This window comes from Homo sapiens, chromosome 7, assembly GCF_000001405.40.
Source record: "Homo sapiens chromosome 7, GRCh38.p14 Primary Assembly".
In the NCBI taxonomy this organism is placed as follows: Eukaryota; Metazoa; Chordata; class Mammalia; order Primates; family Hominidae; genus Homo; species Homo sapiens.
The window spans coordinates 111,965,118-111,991,348 of NC_000007.14; the positions used below are offsets into that span (position 1 = coordinate 111,965,118).

The 26,231-nt window shown below is 39.2% G+C and overlaps 1 protein-coding gene and 1 pseudogene across 14 annotated transcripts in view; both read right to left on the bottom strand.

Moving 5' to 3' along the window:
• The window catches only part of DOCK4 (dedicator of cytokinesis 4), a 480,290-nt gene that overhangs the window by 239,008 nt on the left and 215,051 nt on the right, over positions 1-26,231 (bottom strand). For all 14 annotated transcript variants that reach the window (XM_047421081.1, NM_014705.4, XM_006716189.3 and 11 more), the window contains exons 6-8: positions 23,898-24,046; positions 19,189-19,273; positions 12,015-12,166 (exon numbers count right to left, since the gene is read on the bottom strand). In XM_047421081.1, the coding sequence (XP_047277037.1) occupies positions 12,015-12,166; positions 19,189-19,273; positions 23,898-24,046 (386 nt within the window). The remainder of the gene's footprint in view (positions 1-12,014; positions 12,167-19,188; positions 19,274-23,897; positions 24,047-26,231) is intronic.
• On the bottom strand, positions 6,047-6,908 carry RPL7AP42 (ribosomal protein L7a pseudogene 42; annotated as a pseudogene).

Below are 26,231 nucleotides of genomic sequence, written 5' to 3' on the forward strand. Positions count from 1 at the left end.
CCATCAAGACTAGGAAGAAACTGCATCAACTAATGAGCAAAATCACCAGCTAACATCATAATGACAGGATCAAATTCACACATAACAATATTAACTTTAAATATAAATGGACTAAATTCTGCAATTAAAAGACACAGACTGGCAAGTTGGATAAAGAGTCAAGACCCATCAGTGTGCTGTATTCAGGAAACCCATCTCACGTGCAGAGACACACATAGGCTCAAAATAAAAGGATGGAGGAAGATCTACCAAGCCAATGGAAAACAAAAAAAGGCAGGGGTTGCAATCCTAGTCTCGGATAAAACAGACTTTAAACCAACAAAGATCAAAAGAGACAAAGAAGGCCATTACATAATGGTAAAGGGATCAATTCAACAAGAGGAGCTAACTATCCTAAATATTTATGCACCCAATACAGGAGCACCCAGATTCATAAAGCAAGTCTTCAGTGACCTACAAAGAGACTTAGACTCCCACACATTAATAATGGGAGACTTTAACACCCCACTGTCAACATTAGACAGATCAACAAGACAGAAAGTCAACAAGGATACCCAGGAATTGAACTCAGCTCTGCACCAAGCAGACCTAATAGACATCTACAGAACTCTCCACCCCAAATCAACAGAATATACATTTTTTTCAGCACCACACCACACCTATTCCAAAATTGACCACATAGTTGGAAGTAAAGCTCTCCTCAGCAAATGTAAAAGAACAGAAATTATAACAAACTATCTCTCAGACCACAGTGCAATCAAACTAGAACTCAGGATTAAGAATCTCACTCAAAGCCGCTCAACTACATGGAAACTGAACAACCTGCTCCTGAATGACTACTGGGTACATAACGAAATGAAGGCAGAAATAAAGATGTTCTTTGAAACCAACGAGAACAAAGACACCACATACCAGAATCTCTGGGACGCATTCAAAGCAGTGTGTAGAGGGAAATTTATAGCACTAAATGACCACAAGAGAAAGCAGGAAAGATCCAAAATTGACACCCTAACATCACAATTAAAAGAACTAGAAAAGCAAGAGCAAACACATTCAAAAGCTAGCAGAAGGCAAGAAATAACTAAAATCAGAGCAGAACTCAAGGAAATAGAGACACAAAAAACCCTTCAAAAAATCAATGAATCCAGGAGCTGGTTTTTTGAAAGGATCAACAAAATTGATAGACCGCTAGCAAGACTAATAAAGAAAAAAAGAGAGAAGAATCAAATAGACACAATAAAAAATGATAAAGGGGATATCACCACCGATCCCACAGAAATACAAACTACCATCAGAGAATACTACAAACACCTCTACGCAAATAAACTAGAAAATCTAGAAGAAATGGATACATTCCTCGACACATACACTCTCCCAAGACTAAACCAGGAAGAAGTTGAATCTCTGAATAGACCAATAACAGGCTCTGAAATTGTGGCAATAATCAATAGTTTACCAACCAAAAAGAGTCCAGGACCAGATGGATTCACAGCCGAATTCTACCAGAGGTACAAGGAGGAACTGGTACCATTCCTTCTGAAACTATTCCAATCAATAGAAAAAGAGGGAATCCTCCCTAACTCATTTTATGAGGCCAGCATCATTCTGATACCAAAGCCGGGCAGAGACACAACCAAAAAAGAGAATTTTAGACCAATATCCTTGATGAACATTGATGCAAAAATCCTCAATAAAATACTGGCAAACCGAATCCAGCAGCACATCAAAAAGCTTATCCACCATGATCAAGTGGGCTTCATCCCTGGGATGCAAGGCTGGTTCAATATACGCAAATCAATAAATGTAATCCAGCATATAAACAGAGCCAAAGACAAAAACCACATGATTATCTCAATAGATGCAGAAAAAACCTTTGACAAATTTCAACAACCCTTCATGCTAAAAACTCTCAATAAATTAGGTATTGATGGGACGTATTTCAAAATAATAAGAGCTATCTATGACAAACCCACAGCCAATATCATACTGAATGGGCAAAAACTGGAAGCATTCCCTTTGAAAACTGGCACAAGACAGGGATGCCCTCTCTCACCACTCCTATTCAACATAGTGTTGGAAGTTCTGGCCAGGGCAATCAGGCAGGAGAAGGAAATAAAGGGTATTCAATTAGGAAAAGAGGAAGTCAAATTGTCCCTGTTTGCAGACGACATGATTGTTTATCTAGAAAACCCCATCGTCTCAGCCCAAAATCTCCTTAAACTGATAAGCAACTTCAGCAAAGTCTCAGGATACAAAATCAATGTACAAAAATCACAAGCATTCTTATACACCAACAACAGACAAACAGAGAGCCAAATCATGGGTGAACTCCCATTCACAATTGCTTCAAAGAGAATAAAATACCTAGGAATCCAACTTACAAGGGATGTGAAGGACCTCTTCAAGGAGAACTACAAACCACTGCTCAAGGAAATAAAAGAGGACACAAACAAATGGAAGAACATTCCATGCTCATGGGTAGGAAGAATCAATATCGTGAAAATGGCCATACTGCCCAAGGTAATTTACAGATTCAATGCCATCCCCATCAAGCTACCAATGACTTTCTTCACAGAATTGGAAAAAACTACTTTAAAGTTCATATGGAACCAAAAAAGAGCCCGCATTGCCAAGTCAATCCTAAGCCAAAAGAACAAAGCTGGAGGCATCACACTACCTGACTTCAAACTATACTACAAGGCTACAGTAACCAAAACAGCATGGTACTGGTACCAAAACAGAGATATAGATCAATGGAACAGAACAGAGCCCTCAGAAATAATGCCGCATATCTACAACTATCTGATCTTTGACAAACCTGAGAAAAACAAGCAATGGGGAAAGGATTCCCTATTTAATAAATGGTGCTGGGAAAACTGGCTAGCCATATGTAGAAAGCTGAAACTGGATCCCTTCCTTACACCTTATACAAAAATCAATTCAAGATGGATTAAAGATTTAAACGTTAGACCTAAAACCATAAAAACCCTAGAAGAAAACCTAGGCATTACCATTCAGGACATAGGCGTGGGCAAGGACTTCATGTCCAAAACACCAAAAGCAATGGCAACAAAAGCCAAAATTGACAAATGGGATCTAATTAAACTAAAGAGCTTCTGCACAGCAAAAGAAACTACCATCAGAGTGAACAGGCAACCTACAACATGGGAGAAAATTTTCGTAACCTACTCATCTGACAAAGGGCTAATATCCAGAATCTACAATGAACTCAAACAAATTTACAACAAAAAAACAAACAACCCCATCAAAAAGTGGGCGAAGGACATGAACAGACACTTCTCAAAAGAAGACATTTATGCAGCCAAAAAACACATGAAGAAATGCTCATCATCACTGGCCATCAGAGAAATGCAAATCAAAACCACTATGAGATATCATCTCACACCAGTTAGAAAGGCAATCATTAAAAAGTCAGGAAACAACAGGTGCTGGAGAGGATGTGGAGAAATAGGAACACTTTTACACTGTTGGTGGGACTGTAAACTAGTTCAACCATTGTGGAAGTCAGTGTGGCGATTCCTCAGGGATCTAGAACTAGAAATGCCATTTGACCCAGCCATCGCATTACTGGGTATATACCCAAAGGACTATAAATCATGCTGCTATAAAGACACATGCACACGTATGTTTATTGCGGCACTATTCACAATAGCAAAGACTTGGAACCAACCCAAATGTCCAACAATGATAGACTGGATTAAGAAAATGTGGCACATATACACCATGGAATACTATGCAGCCATAAAAAATGATGAGTTCATATCCTTTGTAGGGACATGGATGAAATTGGAAACCATCATTCTCAGTAAACTATCGCAAGAACAAAAAACCAAACACCGCATATTCTCACTCATAGGTGGGAATTGAACAATGAGATCACATGGACACAGGAAGGGGAATATCACACTCTGGGGACTGTGGTGGGGTCGGGGGAGGGGGGAGGGATAGCATTGGGAGATATACCTAATGCTAGATGACACATTAGTGGGTGCAGCGCACCAGCATGGCACATGTATACATATGTAACTAACCTGCACAATGTGCACATGTACCCTAAAACTTAGAGTATAATAAAAAAAAAAAAAATTCACACAGCTGTACAAACAAATAATGACTGAAAAAAAAAAAGAATGTTTTCTATTCTTATGGCTCCAGCTTCCAATTCTGTATGAAAGATTTCTAAATCTACATTTTCTGTTGTGGCTTCTGAATGCTCATTCTGTGATTCCAGTTGCCACCAGATATCTCCTTTGCATCTACAAAATTTACTAAAAAATAAACTCATTTTTTCTATTAAAAAAACAAAAAAACAAAAAAACAGTGATTTGACTCCTGTCACATATGTCTGAAGAGCAAAGGGCTACATTGAAAGAAACTGTCTAGAGACTAAGTGTTTCAAATTCTCTTGAAAATTCAAACAATCCTGCAAAGGACAGGCATGGTAGAAAAAGAAATCTCAGGTGAATAGGTTCTGGAGAGTCTATTAGTTTGTAGAAGAAAAAGATGCCAAATGTGAAATAAAAACCATTAGTTGAACCAGAAAAAAAAAAAAAAATTTACTGTCTATTGTAGATTAATTGACATATGCCAAAACAGGAGAGGTAAGAATTAATATACACATCCGTAGCTGCACAACCTATGGAAAGCATAAACAAATACCATGACTCTATCACCATGTAGTACAGAAGCCAATTTTAAATGCAAGCTAAAGGAGACACAGTAGCAAATAATGCTAAGTAGTTTGCTTGTATGTAACAAAAACTCATATGCCCAATCCTACACCTCAGTTTATGCATGTCCACATTCTTCTGTCTCTTCCTTTCTCTGGCCCATGGCTAATCTCCTCACCAGCAAACTCAAATCTGTTTCCTGATGCCTCCTAAGGGACCTTGGACGATCAGTGATTTCCCCTCTCCCTCATTACTGGATCTTTCCTGTCAATTCTTAAGGAGGTCAAGTCCCTCCCACTCTAGTTTCCTAAAACTACAAACCCTCGACAGACCCCTTATGACACACTGGTGAGTAAAAATAGGTTGATGAAGAATATAGAATCTTATAGATACTGTACATGATGAGTATGAGTGTAGAGCAGTGATTTAGAATACAGATTCCTACATAAACTGCCATGTTAGAATACCAGCTCCACCACATGTGAGCTGTATGACCTTGGGCAAGTTATTAAAAAAAAAGAAAAAAAAACTCTCCGTGCCTCAGTTTCCCCATCTATAAAAATGTGGATATTAGTAGTATCCACTGTATAGAGTGTTACAAGGGCTGATTAAATTAATATTTCTTAAAGAGCTTAGAATGGTGCCTGGAATATAATAAGCATTACATAAGTGTTAAATGAATGTAATAAAATTACAGATGATTTGCAGAGAAATGATTCCCTCCCTTTCCCAGTAATACCCTTGAGGGCTGGAGAAGCCATAAACTTTCAACCAGATAAATATGCTCTAAGAACAATTGGCTCATGTAAAAACCTGGAAAACTCGTTTTATAAAACTAATAATTATCTTTTATAGAGAGAAATTGTGTCAAGACTGTATACACCTCAAATAAAAGTATGTGATTTTTGCCTCTCCAATGTGGCTGTGCCTTCAGGAGACGCTGGGCTGGTGATGTGACATAAACAAGTGAGGAAGGTAAACTGGAAAAGAGGCCTGGAGTAGGTGTGTTTAAGCAGGATGCCGTGGGAATGGGCCTCAATCTTTAGTCACTGTGAGAGGTGCCCAAAACACACTTTGCAGGCTTAACATACTGGGCCACCTTCAGGGATATTCAGTAATTGTTTAGAAACAAAAGTAATGGGCTTTCTAAATATGGTCCAGCTTCAATGACAAGTTCTTATCAGGAAATGTACTCTTCCTGGTACTAAGGAGATACTACATGCTTCATAATTCTACTGAGTGAACGAGAAAGGGAGTACTTTTACATGCTGGCTCCTTCTGTATTGGACACATCTAAGTACTTAATCTAAGATTTTGATCACTAGCATAAAGTAAGAATTGATGCCACTTTGCTATTTTGTTTTTTGAGGAGATTATTTTTATGTACAAAAAAACTAACAGGGCACATTTAACCCAGTCTAGTGGTGGGTTCTTTAGCCTTTGCCTTTTCCAGCTTGGGAATGTGAGCCAAAGATTTTAGACTCAGGAAATTGCCTCCTCAGTGATGTTAGATGTCATCGTATCTATTGTTGTAATTGGTCCTGATAGCTTCCACTGGCTTAACCAAAGCTCTTTTGTCTTCCAAGCTAACCTGTGTGAAAGCGACAGTGGTGCAGGTCTTCCTGTGGACTAGACATTCTAGTCTTGCCTTCCCCTTGATAATGCAGTGAGGGATCCTCATTTTATGACGCAGGGCAGGCAGGAAGACGATTAGTTCAATGGGATCCATGTCATGTGCAGTTACCATCAGTTGAGCCTTCTTATTCTCCACCAAGGTGGTGATAGTGTTAATCCTGCTCAAAGAACAGGTAGTCTCTTAGTGGACACATCCCCTTTGCCACAGCTTTCTTCTCAGCCTGGGCCAACAGCCTCTTCTCTTGCTTTGTCTCTGGTCTGTACTTGTGGGCCAGCTTATGCAGCTGAGTAGCTGTTTGGTGGTCCAAGGCCTGAATGAACGGGTCAATCGCAGGAGGCACTTTCAGCCACTTACGGGGGATGGCTCTTTGCCACAGCAACCTGATATAGCGGGGCCATTTCACAAAGCCAGGGAGGTCCCTTTTGGGCTGGATGTACTGTCTAATGCCAACATTCTTAGGCCTTTTCTCAAACGGGATTTATCACTTTCTTGGCCTCCTGCTTTTTCAAGACAGCAGGGGTGAGGGCCACCTTCTTCCTCTTGGCCTTCTTTCCTTTCCATTTCACGGGTAGCTGGAGGAGCCACTTTGCTATTCTTGAAGTATTTTGAGAAGGACTCAATTTAAAACCCAACTTCTATAGCATAGACAATTTCTGAGGCCCTATATCAGTTTCAGTATTACCATTATCAAGAATTCATAACAATTTATTATTAAGACTTTCAGTCTCTAAAGCTCCAATTCTGGCCAATAAAATCCTGTTTAACTATGGAAACTTTCAGACAAATACTGAAGTGCTTAGGCAGTGATTCTGATGCGACTGCTGGTGGTGTGGTTCAGAGGGCAGGCCTTGGGCCAGAGCACGGGGTCTGCAGCTCTACTCTGCCTTTTGCCACTTAGAGAAGCTTGGTCACCTTCTCTAGCCTCTCGGTGTCTTGGCTTCCTCATCTGTAAAATTGGTGCTAATAATATATTTAAAGCACTTAGAACAGAGTATGGCAGATGGTTAGTGCTCAATAAATACTGGCTGTTTGCTTCTTAAAGGAGGAATTTTTTTTTTAAAGTACTAACCACTTATCTGTCTTATGTGAGGAATAAACACCCTGTTTCCTAATCCGTCCTCTACAGGTTTTGCACATGTTGGTCCCTCCACCTGTACCTGGACAAGGTAACGTTCTGTGATCAATGGCCAGACTGAAGCCATAAAGATTATGTAGACTACATTCTACCCTTTTTTACGTTTTTTAGCATTTATTATGGAAGTTTTTAAATATAAACAAAATTTCCAGTGAACATATATATACATACTACCTAGATTCTATCATTAACACTTATCATATGTTTTATCACATCTCTAGTTCTCTGTCCTTCTATCTTTAATTTTTTTTTTAATTTTTTACATGAAGAAGTTCTTTAGTAGTGATTTCTGAGATTTTGGTGCACCCATCACCTGAGCAGTGTACACTGTACCCAATGTGTAGTCTTTTATCTCTAATCACCCTCCCACCCTTTCCCTGGAGTTCATAAAGTCTATCGTATCATTCCTATGCCTTTACATCCTTATAGCTTAGCTCCAACTTATGAGTGAGAACATACAATGTTTGGTTTTCCATTCCTGAGTTTCTTCACTTAGAATAATGGTCTCTAATTTCATCCAGGTTGCTGCAAAAGCCATTATTTCATTCCTTTATATGGCTGACTAGTATTCCATGGCATATATATATATATATATATATATATATATAATATTTTCTTTATCCACTCATTGATTGATGGGCATTTGGGCTGGATCCATATTATTGCAATTGCAAATTGTGCTGTTAAAAACATGAGTGTGCAAGTATCTTTTTCGTATACTGACTTCTTTTCCTCTGGCATTTTACTTTTTGTAAATTATAGCACTAACCCTCCTATTTAATAACACAAGCATTCACTTAACTATACCATCTTTTGTCCACTGATTTTAAACGTTTGCAATTAGACTTTGAACTCTCAAGAAGAAATAAACCAAATGACACATAAGTTGCAGGAATTTAAGAGGAAGAGGGAAGCTAGAGCTGAAATTTACTTATAAGACTTATCTGCAACATATGGACTTTATTTGGATCTCAATTTGAACAATTTGTAAAACAATGTTTATGAGTCAATGGGGGAATCTGAATCCAATGGCAAATGAATATTTGATGATGTTAAAGGAATATTAATTTTTTAGATGATAATTCCTTTAGAGTTCCTTTTTTTTTTTTTACATTTGAAAATGTTATGAGGTCAGGAATTTGCTTCAAAATAATCTGGGGGTAAACACAAAAATTGGAAAGGAATGTGGTTAAAACAAGATCAAACTTTTGTTGATAGTTGTTGAAGCTGGTGGAGGGTACATAAGGGTTCCTTACAATAGTCTACTTCTATATATGTTGGAAATTTTTCTAAAATAAAAAGTTTAAAAGAAATACAAAATTTTAAAACACTCACAAATAAGAAGAAATATAACAATGCCTTAAAATCACACCTCACATTCACAGTACTTTTTTCTGAGAAGATGCGGACATTTGATACTCATTACCTACACCAGGTGGGATGAAGGCAGCAAGAACTGTTAGGAGTTCCAAGATGAAAGAAAAAAATAGAAGGAAGTAAAGGGGTCAGGGCTGCAGAGTCACCATCAACTGCAGAGACAAGAGCCAAGCCCAGTCTTCAGATCTGTGCATCCTAAGGCCTCTTCATGCAGGGACGGTGAACTGCCCTGTGTTCCCGGCAGTTTGAACCAAACTGACTCATTACAAGGTTTTGAACACTTCCTAAAAGAAAACAATCACTGTGTGGCCTAAGGCCTCAGAAACACCAAGAAGATAAATCTGAGGCTGTTCCAAACATCTAGTAAGCATATATTGTGATACTTATTCATTTTTTTGCCAATCACCTTTATGGTGATTGTGAGTTTGAGAGGTGAGAGCCACAGATAACCAAATGCATTGAGGAGAAGCAGTGGGAAGGGACTGACTTGATTTCTCCGAGGATCATTACAGATCAGGTGGCATATTGAAGAGGGATGTGTGTGTGTGTGTGTGTGTGTGTGTGTGTGTGTGTGTGTGTGTGTGTGTGTATGATGGGGGTTGCAGAGAGAGGAGGAGGAAGGAAAAGGGATGGGGAGGAGGGTGACAAAAGGGGAGGGTGAAGGCAGAAGTGAGAGGGAAAAGTGGAGGGAGAGACCAGGGGGAAGTAGGCAGGCATGGCAGCCCAGCCACATTACAGACCAGGAAAACTACACAGCTCCTGGCTTGAACTTGGGGAACACAAACACAACATTTTGGCAGACCCTGTACCCGGGTTATTATCTTACTTTTGCTAAGGATATAGGAATAAAATAAGGAGCACTCTGAAGATCAATACCTATTTAGAATGTTTGAGAAAATTTGAAAATGTTTATAATGAGATGATATTTAGAGACAACCTAATATTAATCCCAAATTAGTACAATCCTATGATAATGCGAAGTGGCAAAGGGGAGTTTGTATTCCACAAAAACTTTAGCTTAACAGGCGACCAGGCACAGTGGCTCATGCCTATAATCCCCAGCACTTTGGGAGGCCAAGGCGGGGGGATCACTTGAGGCCAGGAGTTCAAGACCAGCCCGGCCAACATGGCGAAACCCCGTCTCTACTAAAAATACAAAAATTAGCTGGGCGTGGTGGCGGGTGTCTGTAATCCCAGCTAATTGGGAGGCTGAGGCACAAGAATCACTTGAACCCAGAAGGTGGAGGTTGCAGTGGGCCGAGAATGTGCCACTGAGTTCCAGCCTGGGTGACAGAGCAAGACTCTGTCTCAAACAAAAACGAACAAAAAAAACTTTAGTTTAACAGAAATGAGCAAAAGAATAACTTCAGTTCTTCCTTTTACATTCCATATAGTTTATAAAGCATATTAAAGAGATCACATATTATACAGACAATGTTATAAAGATTTTGTAATCTAAACTACCCGTAAACCAGACACACTCCGACATATAAACAAATATTATCTCTAAATAATCTTTCACATTTCTAAAGTCTAACTTGGATCAGTTTTTCACGCCTTTTACTTCCCTTTTTAGTAGTGCTGATTTGTAAAGAGGCAAAGTTCTTTTAACACACTGATTCAATTCCTCTAACAGTGTAGAAAGTAGATTCTAAAACTGTATTACCACTGTTATTTCCACACCTCATAAATTTTGTCCCTGGTGCACAAAAACACCACCTTCTAAATTCTATGGACATAGTCCACTGTCAAGAAATAAAAAGTACACTTACTAGTAGATAACGACTAAGATATAAGTTAATTCAACAAAGATTTTATGCCTGTAACTGCATTAAAAATAAACTTCACACATATTCCCTAGAAAAAGAAAACTATTTTACCAGAAAAGAATTACTCCAAGATTATTTTCTGTTTATAAAATAATAGGCCAGGCGCAGTGACTCACGCCTGTAATCCCAGCATTTTGGGAGGCCAAGGCAGGCGGATCATCTGAGGTCAGGAGTTCGAGACCAGCCTGGCCAACATGGTGAAACCGCATCTCTACTAAAAATACAAAAATTAGCTGGGCAAGCTACTCAGGAAGCTGAGGAAGGAGAATCACTTGAACCCAGGAGGTGGAGGTTACAGTGAGCCAAGACCACACCACTGCACTCCAGCCTGGGTGACAGAGCAAGACTCCATCTCAAAAAAAAAAAAAAAAAAAAAATATATATATATATATACACACACACACACGCACACACGCACATATGTGTGTGTGTGTGTGCGTGTGTGTGTATATATATGTGTATATATATGTGTATGTGTGTCTATTATATATATATATATATATATATATATATATATATATATATATATATATGAGACTCGGTATTGCCTAAAATTGTTAGTGTTTATTGAAAAGTATTTTTTTAAAGCATGGTACAGTTGGGTCATTGTGTGTGATTTGTGTGATTCAATTCAAATTCTCAATTTATCTGTGAAATTTTTAATTTGAAAGACGGCAAGTTTTGTGTTTAACTTTAAAACAAATATTAAAAATTTTAGACAAAAAAGTTTTAATAGGAGTTGAGACTTTCGAATAAAAACCAAAACATACACCATATATCTTTTCTAAATACTGAAAAAGAGAACCAAAAGAGAATTGTAATAGGTAAGACTCAGAGAACTGCGAAAGAAAAAGAAATATGTGAAAATTAGTTATCATCTCAAAGCTCTGAGACTTTAATGGGAAGGTTTCTAAGTATTTAGTTGTCTCTTTAAACCATATGATCCAGATAGGATAAGAATAACAGAATGGTTTACTGAAAATCTGAAAGATACAGCATGCTGACTGTGATAAGCAAACTTCTCCAGAGAATCTGTATCTTCTTTATGTTACCAATACAAAATAATTAAAACAAATAACAGATTTGATATCCATGCCATACTTCCATTTAATATCAATTATTCTGATTCTATAGCCCTTATGAATTTTTCAAAGAATGCTGCATTCATCATCCCTCACAGAAACATCCAAAGAACAGGCAGCTTAGAAACTCAGAGTTCTACTGGTGAGAAAATTGAAGCTGACGGAGTAAAAAATATACAAGATATATATCTTACAGCTTGCCAATCACAAATATCCACCATTCTAACATTAAGACATTGAAACCCTATCTCCACGTGCAGGTACCTGATTGGCCGGTTCTCTTTACTGTCAAAGAGTGAGAAGATGACCTCCAGCTCCTCTCCCAGGTTGGAACACATGAGGCTCTTCATCTGGACAAAGAGGTGGTGACTGCTGGCCTGCACCGGGGTGTCTTTCTTCCGATGTCGATGTTCCATCTGAATGACACCCCCCAACAAAAACATGATCAGCATGGACTGAAGGAAATAACAGGACCCAACAAACTAGTTAGCTATGAGGTGACTGTGATGTCCTACGCCATAACTTTTTATTTTGCTGTGGATTTGGTATCTAAATCCACAGCAAAATATACATTCTATGTCTTTCAGACTGTGGACATAGAAATAGTCTGGAAGATATCCAATTTAACTTTGGATGTTAAGTTCCAAATTTTCTTCCAACTTCTAAAATAAGAAACTGTGAAGTTTATAGATTATCAAGGAACCTTGCTTGAAGAATTTTTAAAATCATTAATGTTAAAATAACAACTCACTGAGTAGATTCAGGAAGCAGGAAGTTCAAAGGATTCTTTTGCTCCCTTATCAACTCCCAAGATGAGAACAAATTATTAGTCATCTTTTTAAAAAGCAGACTAAATTATATCTAAGTTATAACTTCTCATTACTCATAATTAAAAGTTCTTTTAGGTTATACTAAATTGTAAAGTTGTGGTAGTTGTCTGAGACAGGCTGTGGCAAATAATAGTTTCTAACTTGCTGTGGCGCTATAGGGAGAAACCTAGGAAAGCCAGCAAGGTGTCTAAAGCTAAGAATAGCATCTATGTCCACCTTCAATCCCTTCCTCAATACAGCCAGTCCAGGCTCAACTTGGGCAACAAGACAAGATGTGAGTTCCCACAGGTTGAGGGAGAAAAAGAATCATTCACGAGTCCAGGAAGGAGGATAACATGGGGATGATCATTCATCCAACATACATTCAAGTATCTCCTATGTACCAAGCCCTGGGAACACAATGATGAGTAAAATCAGAAACAGTTCACACCTTCACAGAGCATCTATCTACTAGGGGAAGCAGACATGAACAAAATTGTCACACATACACATGTAAAACTGCAACTGTGATGAATGGAAGCAAAGACCCAGATTACTGTTATTATTATTTTTGAGGCAGTATCTTGCTCTACTGCCTAGGCTGGACTGCAGTGGCACGATCTCAGCTCACTGCAGCCTCTACCTCCCAGGCTCAAGCGATCCTCCTGCCTTGGCCTCCAGAGTACTTGGGACTACAGGCACGTGTTACCACACCCAGCTAATTTTCATACTTTTTGTAGAGACAAGGTTTCACCATGTCGCCCAGGCTGGTCTTGAACTCCTGGACTCAAGTGATCCTCCTGCCTCAGTCTGCCCAAGTGCTGGGATTACAGGTGTGGGCTACTGAGCCCAGCCTAAAGATCCAGATTATGATGAGAGTATAAAAGTGGGGATTTGACATGAGACTGGGCAGGCATCCTGGGAAAATGGCACTTTAGCTGAGAGGTAAGGAGGGTGCAGGACTTACCTATCTAGGTTAGGGCTCACACTGCTTGCAGTGAGGGACCAGGTTGTTTCTCCCCATAATTCCCTGCAGACTGATTCTTTCATGAAATACAATAAAAATGCCATGGCAATGTCAAAATGCCCTAAAGGTTTCTAATCATTTACTTGTCATTTGTATAGTTGGACCAACAGTTCACGGTCCAGCCATTTCTTGGACCACACTTCAAGTAACACTGATTCAGGATAAGAGTACAGGAAAAACACATGGCTAGGCTTGTGTATTAATAGAACGGGTGCTAAAAATGTGGAAGATTATCACTTTCATAGCACAGACTAATAACAAAACTACCTCTTTTGGATCACTTTGACAATTAAAAAAATAGTTCAGGGATTTCAATTTCATTGTAACAGAGCCATAGCCTGTGTTGAGGGATAAGGTAAATGACCCTACGTCTACATTAGCCATCTTTTTACGCCTTTGAGTTGAAAAACTGCCGAATGACCAAATGAAGCCAAAATGTCATGTAAATTTACAAGTGTTAACACAACATAGAATCACTAGAATTTTTTCGTGCTTAGAAGTTAAAACTTTTATTCCGAACTACTTGAGAAGCAAAGGGTGGAAAAAATTTAGCTAAATTCATCTACAATCACTGTATACTCAACAGGTACACTGGGAATCTCTTCGTAAAAGTGGAGAGTAAGTAAGTTGTTTTTAAAAGCAGACCTAAGCATTGAGGCATGTGTGGGCTATAATTACTAAACACAGGTTCCTGAAGAAAAATATTCTAACTGTAGGAAAAAAGAATGATTTTGCCTTGTTTTCTATAAAGGTTGCTCTACTTTGTGCTTTAACAATTTTTTTTTTTTTTTACTGTGGCAAAAGTGGCATCATTATGTTCATAAAAATACACCTCTAACTAACAAGGCTTCACCATCCCCCCTCCACCCCGCCAGAACTGCTAACTTATTTACTGATTTACTTAAAAGAAAAACATATGCTTACTTAAAAGGGTAACAGAGCACAAGCTACTATGAAGAACCGAATGACTACTAAAGGCCAGAGCTACAGAAATAGATGTAAAAACCTCATGAAAAGAATAGGCCTTAAGGAGATATCCTCTCTTAACCTCAAATAGTGCAAAGTTCCCTGCACCAATCATGACATTCACAAGAATTGAGGAGAAAAAATTAGCTCCTTTACCGATGCAATGAATCCAATATATCTAGATCAGTGGTTCTCAACCTTGGCTGCAGTTTAGAGTCCCCAAGAGAGCTTTTAAAAAATACTTATGCCCAGGTCTTATCTCAGAACAATTAAATTAGAATTTCTAGGGGCTGGGGGTCCAGAGACTGGTAGTTTTAAAAGCTCCCCAGGTGATTCTAATGGGCAATGAGGGTTGAGAATCACTGATCAGGATCATGTGCAGACAGATGCAAATCACAGCAAACTAAACAATGTATTGTTGCATCTTTCGAGTAATTATGGGCTTGAACTTTTGTTCTTTGAATACATGCTAGTAATAAGCCTGCCTGACTCTACCCTTTGCACATTTAACATGGGCCTTCACATCTGGCACACTCTGGCACTGAAAATACCCCTCTTCCCATCCCCACTATTCTTTCAGGTCTAGGACCCATTTGGACTTAGTAGGTTATGATTACTTTCTTTTCTCTTGGTAATTCAGTACTTCCGCAAACTGCTAAAAAATTTCTGTGAAAGTATTATTACAATCAAATTAAAAAGTCAAGTTCACACTTCAAGGGCTTGAGATAATTTGTGGCTACAAATGCACCTATCAGTTACTCTAACTGTGCTTAACAGTTGAACTAGCTCTTTGATTAGGAGAAGAAAGAGATTCATCCCAAAGATTTATTTAACTGACTCAAATTTTTAATCTTCAAATAATGCATTAATTATTGAATGAACTGTCTACACCAGGGTTTACCAACCTCAATGCTATTGACAACTAGGCTGAATATTTCCTTGTTGTGGGGGCTGTCCTGGGCTTTGTAGGACATCTAGCAGCTTTTCCTAGCCTCTACCTACCAGATGCCAATAGTACCTCTCCTTCCCATCTCCTGTTGTGACAACGAAAAATGTCTCCAGACAATGCCAAATATCCCCTTGGGTTGAAATTGCATGTGAGAACCACTGTGTTCCCTCTGAGATCTGCTAGTCTAACCTTCTAAGAATTGCAGAGTAAGCAGATGCATGATCTTACAAATTCTAAAAAGATAGAAACCTGCAGGCACAAATAGGAGAGAAGCTGGCTAATAAGGCTCCCTTTATTTATAGAAGGATTGAAATCTTGCCTTTGGCACTAAACCAAAATATCTAAGTGGACATATGCTAACACTGTGCGGTTTAGCACTTTTACTGCTTAAATGAACACAATTAGGTGAGAAAGATCTGCTAACAGGGCTATCAAGAAACTAAAGTGAGACTTTTTTTCTAATGATGCAATATGAATTTAGTAAGATGCAAACACTTGTGTTTCAAACATGACACTGACTAGGAAGAAGTAAAAAAAGAAAAGCAGCAACAATTAATCAAATGTCCTCTGTGTTGGGCCATTTAACCTCCATGCTGAGGTCCTTGACCCAAAGTGACAATAAATTGCCAAACAACAACAAGGGATTGGTGATGGTGCCTCCCAGCTCTCCCTGGTGAAATCAACAGTCAGTCACTTTCATGTTGAATGAGAAAAACACCAGGGCTACAGAGAATCTTATTATTGCTAGGCCAGGATACAAACAGAAACTTGAAAAAGAAACTGCCTTATGGAAGCTGGGCTTAATACCTGGGTGATGGGATGATCTGTGCAGCAAACTACCATGGCACACATTTACCTATGTAACAAACCTGCACAACCTGCACATGTACCCCGGAACTTAAAATAGAAGTTGAAGAGAAAAACAAAGTAAAAAAGAAAAAGAAACTGCCTTAAAGAAAAGCACATGCTCTTCTGAAGCTTATAACTATTTGAGTTGTTTTTGGGCTATAGTCTTTGTTTTGGAAATAGTCAAGTGCAACCAGCACTGAGGAGAAAATAAGTTTTCATGTCAAATCACATTTTCTTTTCTTCATCTGTAAAATGAAGACTTTGGACTAGGATCTGAGCTGTAACATACTAAAATATCCCCTGCTGTCTTTCCCACCAACGGCCAACATTGCTAATCAATGAGACCCTAGATGAGACCCTGGAATCTTAGCAACACTGAACTCTAGGCAGCCACCCACCAATAAACTGGAATGCTGAAAGAGGTGAAATCAATTTGCCATCCCATATATAATGTTACATGAAAAGAACAGAGACAAAATTACATACGCACAAAACCAAACTCAGGAAAATAAAATATATTTGTGTCACATCAGTTATTTATCTGATACCTGACATACTCAACTAAATACAGGGGTGTGCCTAAGCTCTGCCAATGAGATGTAAGTGCAAGTGTTGTGCGGAACTTCCAGGAAGGTTCATTAAAGTATTTGAATCAACTGAGAGAAAGCTGTCTCCTTCCTACTGCCTGGAATGCAAATATGATGGCTAGAACTCTTGCAGCTATACTGCACTTAAAGGTGTTCTTGGTGATGGAAGCCATGTTCAATGTAGCAGAAAGATAAGGATCTTTTCATACCATAAAACCACAACCAAACCCAGAAATTCCTGTTTCTAAACTTGCATACTTTAAGAAATAAATTTCTATCATGTTTTATCTTCTGCTTTTTATTTATTTCATGACACAGCCAAATCTAAGCCTAATATGAGGCATCAATTATTTTTACCCTGTTGGCTCTCCAACGTAGATGAATAAAGATAAGAAAGGAATGAAAACTGACTAAATGCTTACATGTTGTGCAAATATTATCTGTCAAGGAAAGGCATTTTACATATATTTCTTATCTAATCTTCATAATAAACATGAAAATAATTATTTCCCTATTTAGTAGATGAATAAACTGAGGCTTTGACAGATTAAATAATAAATCCAAGACCCAAATAACTGGTAAAAGAAAGAGATAGATTATAAATGTAGTTGTTTGGAGCCAATAATCCAGTCTTTTCATGATACCATAATGATCTCCAAAGCATTGACTGGGTGCTTACTAAGTGCAAAAGCACTGTACAAGACTATCTTGAACATATAGAGGTATACACAGTGTGTTCCCTAAAGGAACTTAAAAATTAAGTGAGAGATGTTCTTAAAAGTGAAAGAATATGATGTTCAATAAGTTAAATAAATGAACAAAAGTAAAGATGCCACATCAGAGGATATGACAGACAAACTATACGGATTATATTTGTTATGTAAGCTAAGAGGCAGTGATGACTTTAACTTGGAATGCTCTTATTTTTCTTTCTTCGCCTCCCACTAACTGACCTCTATGTTCTCCCTACATGCCAGATACTCTGTTTAGTACTGATGTCATGAAGGCAAGCAGCACACAACACCACTCTGAAGAAATTCAATATACAATTAAGAATATCCCCTAAAAAATGGAATTGATTCCAACTGACACAATGAAGTGTAGATAATCTGAACATCAATTTGATGATCATGGAAAAATCTGGAAGCAATATTAAGAACTGCCTTCTCAAATCAGATACATCCCCAGTGGACTTACTGAAATTTTCCTCCACATTTTTCAGATATGGATAATCTTCAGGTTAAGAATATCTCATTATTCTCAGAAAAATAAGCTTGAAAAGATATGCCAAAAGAGGCAGGATCATCCAAAAAGGAGTCTACTATTTCCAATAGGCAGTCCTTCTTGGAACTTTATGGTAAGAAGCAGCAGTAATGAGATCAAAGTTCAATTATGCTTAGGGTGATGGTCTTTGAAAGCCCATCCCAACCACCCTCTTCTCTGATTTTGGATTTTCAGAACTTAGTTAATATCAAGATATTAGGTACATTTCATACAATTTTAAGAATACAAGGCTAAACAGAAGGCAGATTGGACCAGACTTGGGGAACCTGGATGCCAAGCAAAAAAACTGGACTTTAACTTACCATGTAACTAGAAAAAAAACTCAAGTCATAAGTGAGACCATGAGGGGCAATATGATCAAATATTTTAGGATGATTCACGGGCTTCAGTACTTAGGAATGGATTGGGGTCTGGGAAGGGTGGGTGTAAGTCCAGCAGTTGAAGACTAAGGAGGAGACCGTTTCAGTAGTTGGTGTATATAGTGCTATTATGTATGTACACACACACGCGCGCGCGCGCGCGCGCACACACACACACACACACACACACTATATGTATATAGAGCTAATGGGGGCAGGAGGAGGGTTAACATGCTGCTGAGCCAAGACGAAACACCCATTAGTTACAGCATGGTCCTCAAACACAACAGATAAGTATGCGTGACTTGTAAGCATTTCACTACACTAGACAAAAAGTAGAAAGATTTGCAAAAGAACTGAAAACATCTTTGTATTGACTTCCTGGTGCCTGGGCGTTGAGGGCCCACTGGAGAGTATCATGTTATTCTTAGACAGGTAGTGTCTCAGTACTGTACTGAGGGCATGGTCACCTCAGCTCTCAAGTCTTTTTACTCTCTCTAAATTAATCCTGGAACATCCTGTTCTTACAAAATCAAGCAAGTATGAGGAGTGCCATGGAAACCAGAAAATTAGCAGGAAGACTGGAAGCCAAGATTTCCTGTACCTACCAATCGGTAGAGCTCAGTAATGCTGATGTCTTCCGGATCCACCATTGCGTACTCTTTCCTAGGCACCAGGTCCAGTCCCAGTTGTCTAGAAAACAAATTGCAAAAGTTTGGGGGAAAAGTTACCTCCATGAAATATGTTAAAAACAATTGGTTTTTTACTATATCACTTGGAAATTAGGTATATCACCCACCATGCTTCTCTCACCTTGTATGACTTGTTACCACAGTTGGGGTAGACAATATAACTCCGCTGGACACTGGGCAAAACTTAAAACATAGAAGGTGAGAAAGACAAGCAAATCCAGGAGGGATGGGTTGGCACTCTCAGTGGAGTGCTCCTGCCACTGGGGGCCTTAGCACCACATGGTGTGGAGCCTTCAGCGCCCTTCAAATTATCACGAGAAGGCCTTCCACACTGGAGTGAATGGAAACTAGAGCTAGACATCATTTGGTTCTAGAAATTGGAGTTGAGGGGAAGGAAATTTGGTCTTTAGAATTTGACCTAGCACCAGTATACCTAGCTGTGCCCAGAGTCAACATGTTTCTTATATGAATCTCTGGCAACTTGTGCATGGTCCTTATTTACAGCAAATTCTGAGGTCAGTCGTTAGGAGAAACTCAGTAAAGGCAGGAAATGGAAATGGGGGAAGAGTTTTGGGCCTGGGCTGGCAGAATAGTTTAACCCTTTATGTCAGATTTCATTGTGGCTGACATGTGGCTTGCTGTGCTGAGAAGTATTCTAAGGTTATATCCAGCCTCAGAGGTATCAAGTATGGTAACTGACTTGTGATGTCTTCCCATCAACAGAGGAACACGAGTCTAACTCTATTCTGGTTAGCTTCCCTCTAGCGACCTTCCTAGCATGATCCCCTCCAGGGCACCCACGGTACAATGCTGACACCAATGCCACACAGTTCTGTTCATCTCCTTAACCCTCCATGATCATCTCAAAGGCTACACAACGCCTGTGTAATGCCCTATCGATCAAGGCCGAGATGATACCCTCTTCTCTAGCAGAGCCCCCTCAACCACCACATCCAAGGCCGAATGCTCAGTTCTCTGAGGATCACTTGTTCTAAATCCTTTTCACATCACCACTCTTTCTAACACAGAAGGCTTCTGGCATCACACTTCCAATTATAGAACCACAGCTTTCTTACTTTCGTATTTTAAAAAAATCTGAAATTCTTCCATGCCCTCCCCCAAAATCTCATTAAGGTTTCATAAGTAAAATTTATTAATTCAGCACCTACTTCAAGCCAGGCACTGCCCCAGCCACCCTGAGGGCTATTTGTTCTTAAGAAGATTAGAAAGCTGTCACCTCCTTGACAGTAGGAGCTGTCTTTCAGATAGTAAAACAGTTTCTCAATTTTCCTAAATGATGTTTCTCTTTGGGAAACCTAGAAAAAAATTCACACACCCATTATTTAATGTTAGTTGAATTTTTAACTCACAATAAACACTGTGATTTGTTTTCAAAATGTCCATGTTCCCCCTTGCTACATCTCACCAGGGATTCTGATAGGGTCTGTTTTCCATTCTCCATTCCCTTCTGAAAGAGAACCACCGTACTACAGTGTAAGTCAGCATCTGACACTGGGTCAATATTGCTGATGAAGATCATTTAGCAAATGAAAGAGGGCATATAACCACTGTGATACTTGTCTTACTCATAGCTCCTTCTATGAGAAGCTGCTCTATCCACTTTCTCTGCTGGGAGTGGTGGTGGCAGACAAGGTAGTCATCTGACCATCTCCCCTTCCTGAGCCACACCTGATTGTACCATGGGTAAGCACCTGACCTAAGGACAAATAACCCAAAGACTGGCCAGCAGCTTATGAGAGGCTGGTATAAAATGCTCAGCCCAAACAGGAATATTAGACATTGGCTGTCAATAAGATTCCTTCCTTGAGAATCTGAACTTGGAAATTCAGACATCAGTCACATGCAGGAGGAAGATAAGATACGTGAAGACAGGTGACCTACATGGCTGCAGAATGAGTGCAGAAATTCTGCAGCCTCAGAAACCTGTAATCTACAAGCCTTTTTCTCCCATAGTCTTGATTGTTCAGCTTCTGTTAGCTTCCTGGCGTCCTGGTTATGTGAAGAGTCTTATTTATTTCTATTTGGTTTTGTTAATTCCTAGGTACATCTTCCCATGGTTTGAGGTTTCCTAGCCCACAGAGTAGAATCAAGGAAGTGCCTTACAAAGAATAAGGAGAAATGAGGCAAGTAGGGAAGAGAGAGGATGAGAGGAGATCACACAGGGAGAGCGTCATGTTTTCTATCAACTCAGTCACTAAACTACTCTGTGACACCAAGAAGAAAGGATTAACTGATTGCCTCCTCCCACATAGTATTAGCAGAAAAGTCAAAGAACATCGTGTTGTAGGACTGTATGGGCAACAGAAACATGTACCATTATTTTAGTGCTGTCTGAGGTTCCCAGGCAAGAACAATTCTTTTGCTGGCCCTGTTAGGAAATGAGATTAATGATCTCTTCTTCCTAAGCTTCCCACATCAAGAGGGCTTCTCTTCACTACTCTTCAACAGTTTGATATACAACGTGAGATGGAACACATTCTTAATTTATGTTCATCCAGAGATTTATGTGCTGGCAGCTTATTTTGCAGGACAATTTCATCTGGTTTAATAGGCAAGAGATTATCTTAATTTGCTTTCCATGAGCACTATTCAATAAGAAAACAAATGTATACTTAAAGGAATAAGGTAAATTCATAATCTCTGTACTGTAAGTTATTTTAAAATAAACAGTCAAAGAATTTCAAAGAAAACGGAATCATAGCTCAGAAAATTCATGAAGTTGAAGATGATCTAAATAAATTATACTGCTCATTTTCATGCATCAATGTTTTACCAACTTATCATAAATTAGCCACAGAACTGCCCAAAGTACAAGCCAGAACTTACGTAAGTCAAAAACTGAGTCATGATTCAGTCATAATTAATGTTTTTCCTTCCTTCCCCTTTTCATTCTGCCATCATTTTCTTTCATAAAACTGAAGAAGTATCATTTTCTTGCCTGATCTACATTCCTGTGTTATTTTGGATAAGCTAACTTCCTCCAACTTTCTTCCTATTTACAAACTAGTCCTTTAAATGAGGACCAGCATAATGACTAAGACCCAAAATAATTCAGAGTCCTCAAAGGTTTTTCAAAACAATAAAGAAATAAATATTAGGCAGCATAGGTTTCGCTCCAACGGACCCCTCCCACTCCACAATAATGGAGATTCGAGATAATCTCCTGTGAAATTCATTCCCACGGCAGGATAGGAAGTTCCCTGTAAATGGCTGGCAAGTCTAATCTGTTAGGAGGTGCTGTGTGTTTTAAATGTCATCCTGGAGCTGAAAGCGCCCTTGTGCTTTTTCTAGTTCAACTTCCTCCTTCAACAGATGAGGAACTGACATGAAGAGGGTTAAGGAATTTGCTTCAGGTCCTAAGAAAGCAGAGCTCCCAGTCCTGTGCTCTTGCTGCCCCTCCACATTTGTACCTGTTTTATTTCTCACAGGAATGAATCTTCTAGAGATAAATGAATTGGGCTCTTCTATTCATTGTCTGTAAAAAGATGAATGGCACATCCTATTCAACAAAATACCGGAAGTCCTCTGAGTGAGATGGAGGTTTAAAAATCTGTTAGTAGGTCTGGGTATTCACATTCAGAGTGTGCAACATCTTGGGAAGAATCAAACCTGGCTTCTGACAAAGTGATTTCCTATGGTAATGGGAAGTGGCATTCTGCTTCAAATTGGTTTTTCCACATTCAGTAAGAGGCAAATTTACCCATGGTTCACTTCCTGTCATTTTCTTCATTTCTGTCTGCTTTCCTTTTTTTTCTGTTGCCCTAAGATCCTCTGAAGGTCCAAATAGCAAATGGGGATTTGGAGAAAGGAAAGGAAGGGAGGATAGGGCCATGTGGGTTATTAAGGAACCATGTCACTGCTTTAAACCTAAACCTCACGCAACCCTAGGGTCTCAGTCAAAGGTGGCTTATTCTAATTTCTCACTTCTATGTTAATATTCACGTTTAGTAAAATATCAGCCTCGGTCAGAGCTTTCAGTGATTAGATTTACCATTTTAGTACCTGGCTGGTATTTTAAATTAGTCACTTATGGTTTTGTTTAAAAATAAATCTCGGTCAAGAACAGCTTTTTACTGAGTTCTCTCAAGCAGCTCCTCAAAGTAGCTAATGTGTATGTACAGGACTAATCACAGCAATAATAAAAGGCCCCACCAGTGCACCTGTCATAAGACTTTTCACAGAAGCTGTTAACATTAGTGTCTCCCTCCGGATTACACTGGTGACCTATTACCATGACATGGAAAAGATATATTTTAAAAGCAAATCCACATGCCAAACCTAAAGCCTATTTGAGAACAAGATCCATTTTAGTCAGACGCCACATCTAGTTCATTGCTGTGAACATTTCATTTTCCATGAGCATGTCCACACCATCAAGCCACATACGATACTAGACAACAAACGACATTTCAGTGCCTACACCAGCTTGAGAAGAAATGGTTCTCGGCTCTATCAATGCCAGTTCGCACTAAGCCTCCAAAAACAGGAAACATGAAAAAGCCCATAGGATTGCTTCCAGTGACATTACCACGTTCTGGCTCAGGCCTATGTCACTTCCATTGTGTTCACCTACTAGAGGCCGCCCTGTGATGCTCAATACTCACTCATTGCCCCAGTCAAGCCGGGCAGTAATGTGGCGCTTCACGTCCTTCATCCGGTCGTGGGTGAGGTGGCCCACCAGCACCTGCCGCCTCAGGTCCAGGATTTCATTCATGATGTGCCACAGCCGGTGGAAGAGATCGCCTTCATTACGCTAAGAAATATACAAATGTGGAGATTTGGCAGTCAGTACCTATACTGAGTTGTGGGGTAACCAAAAAGGAAAGGGAAGAGGCCCATTCTGGTTACCCACTATGTGCTTGCCACTCTGGACAGATGTCCGTGAACAGACAAACTGTTCGCTCACTATCCTCAAACACACTCGCTGCCTTCTCTATATGCTTCATCTAAGTTTCACAACACTGCTCTCATGTCCAGAAATGCAACTTTACTTCTCACGTGCTCCTTTTATTTATTTATTTTTTAAACACTACTCAAATGCTACTATCCAAGAAGACTCGGCTTGACTTCCACCTCCATCAGGAAATCTTCCCTGATCACTTTTGCTCACATTCTTTTCTCCCTTCTCTGTGCCATGGCTGCATGCAACTAAAGCTGATGAAATGGAAGACATTGCTTTCCAATTATATTTCTTGCACATTGGTCTCAATACTTTATTGGATCCCCTATCAGAAGTTGGGCACAAAATTCATTCATTGATGGATATGCACTGCTATTATCGGGCCAGTATTTAGACTTTTAAAAAGGTAATGCTTTCTTCCTTACTTTTAAAACAATCATGGAGATTCAAGATAATCTCCTGTGGAATTCATTTAAGCTCTGTGGTTTACTGGAAAGAAGACAAGTTAAAATCCTGGTTTTGTCACTTACTAGTGGTACAGACTTTAAGTACCAATTTTGTCATCTGTACATGGGCAGCACATTCTTTCTGCAAGGCTGTTTTATGGATTAGTGGTAGCAACTGTGCAGAGAGCACTACAGCACAGTGGCAGAGAATACCAACTTATTTAGAGCCAAACAACTTCAATCTGAATTTCAGTTTTGCCATTTACTGGCTGAAAAAGCTTTGACAATTCATTAACATTTTTGTGCTTGTTTTTTTCATCTGTAAAACGGGTATTATAGTACCTACTTCTCAGGGTTGTTGTGAGGATTAATGAGTTATTAAAACTCTGAGAATGATGCCTGGCCCAGAAAAAATATGTAAGTATTAGCTGTTATTAGTACTAGAGTACTGTTATTGCTTTGGGCTTGGTCCAGAATGAGCCCTCTACAAATACTGTTTCTTCCCCAAAACCAAAATATATATCCCTTACCCCAGAGACAATAGAGTAAATCTTATCTAAGTCTTTACCCTTTGTCTTTCTTAACCAGCAGCTATGCTTTTACTTTCTACAAAAATTATGAGTGGACCTCATGAGTAGTGATATGAAAGTACTGAGGTTATCATCCATCTAAAGTCTTCTACAGCTGTAAGCTGCCAGAAATATCAAATTCTGGGTGATGGGTAAAGACATTCTGTCATCACGTATTTTTTATTTTAAAAAGTAGTGACGTGTTATCTGCTTTTTCGGTACTTGGTGTCTTGAATTTTTCACATGATGTGCAGGTCAGACAAATTTGCCAGAGGAACAAAAAGCATTCTCCAGGATGCCATCCCTGATCCTCCTCAATATAAATCATCTTGCTTCTCTCTCAACTCCGAAGGCACTCTATTGAGCCCATTCTTCTATTGCTTCTCACTCTTAACTCATGTTATACACTCCCATACAAGCCATTACAAGGCCACTGTAACACAATACTCTTGTAATTAACTGCTCAATGTCCATGTCCTCCCTGTGGCTGTAAGTGCCCAATCACATGGCTGTCTGCCTGTGTATCCCTAACAGCCGGAGAATGCATGAATGAATAGCTTGATTTACACATGTTAATTTTTGTGGATCTCAAGAGGTAGATTCTGTACAGGCGATACAAACACTTGAGGAAGTCAGTGTAGGAAGGAAAAGTCCACCCAAGTCAATAAAATTATATAAGCAAGTTATTAAACAAGTCAAATCTCATGTAGCAAAGAAGAGACACAGCGCCTTTTTGAACTGATTGTCACAGGGAGAAAGTCACCTGCCTGCTCTTGGGAAAGGCGTTCTGTAGTTGTTTAGTAGGATGGACTTGATTTTCTGTGATGTCATCTCTAGTACTTAAGTTTAAGAGAACACTAATAAGAAAAGGTTGCAGGATCCCTTATAAAGCTGAAAATCAGTTGGTCAGCTCTCCATTAAGGGAAGAAAACCCAGGTGTGGCAAGAATGCTGACATACTGCAGGCCTGGCCAGCAAACCTACTCTACTAGTGTAAGAAAAAGTTCTAAAACTGAACATCTGG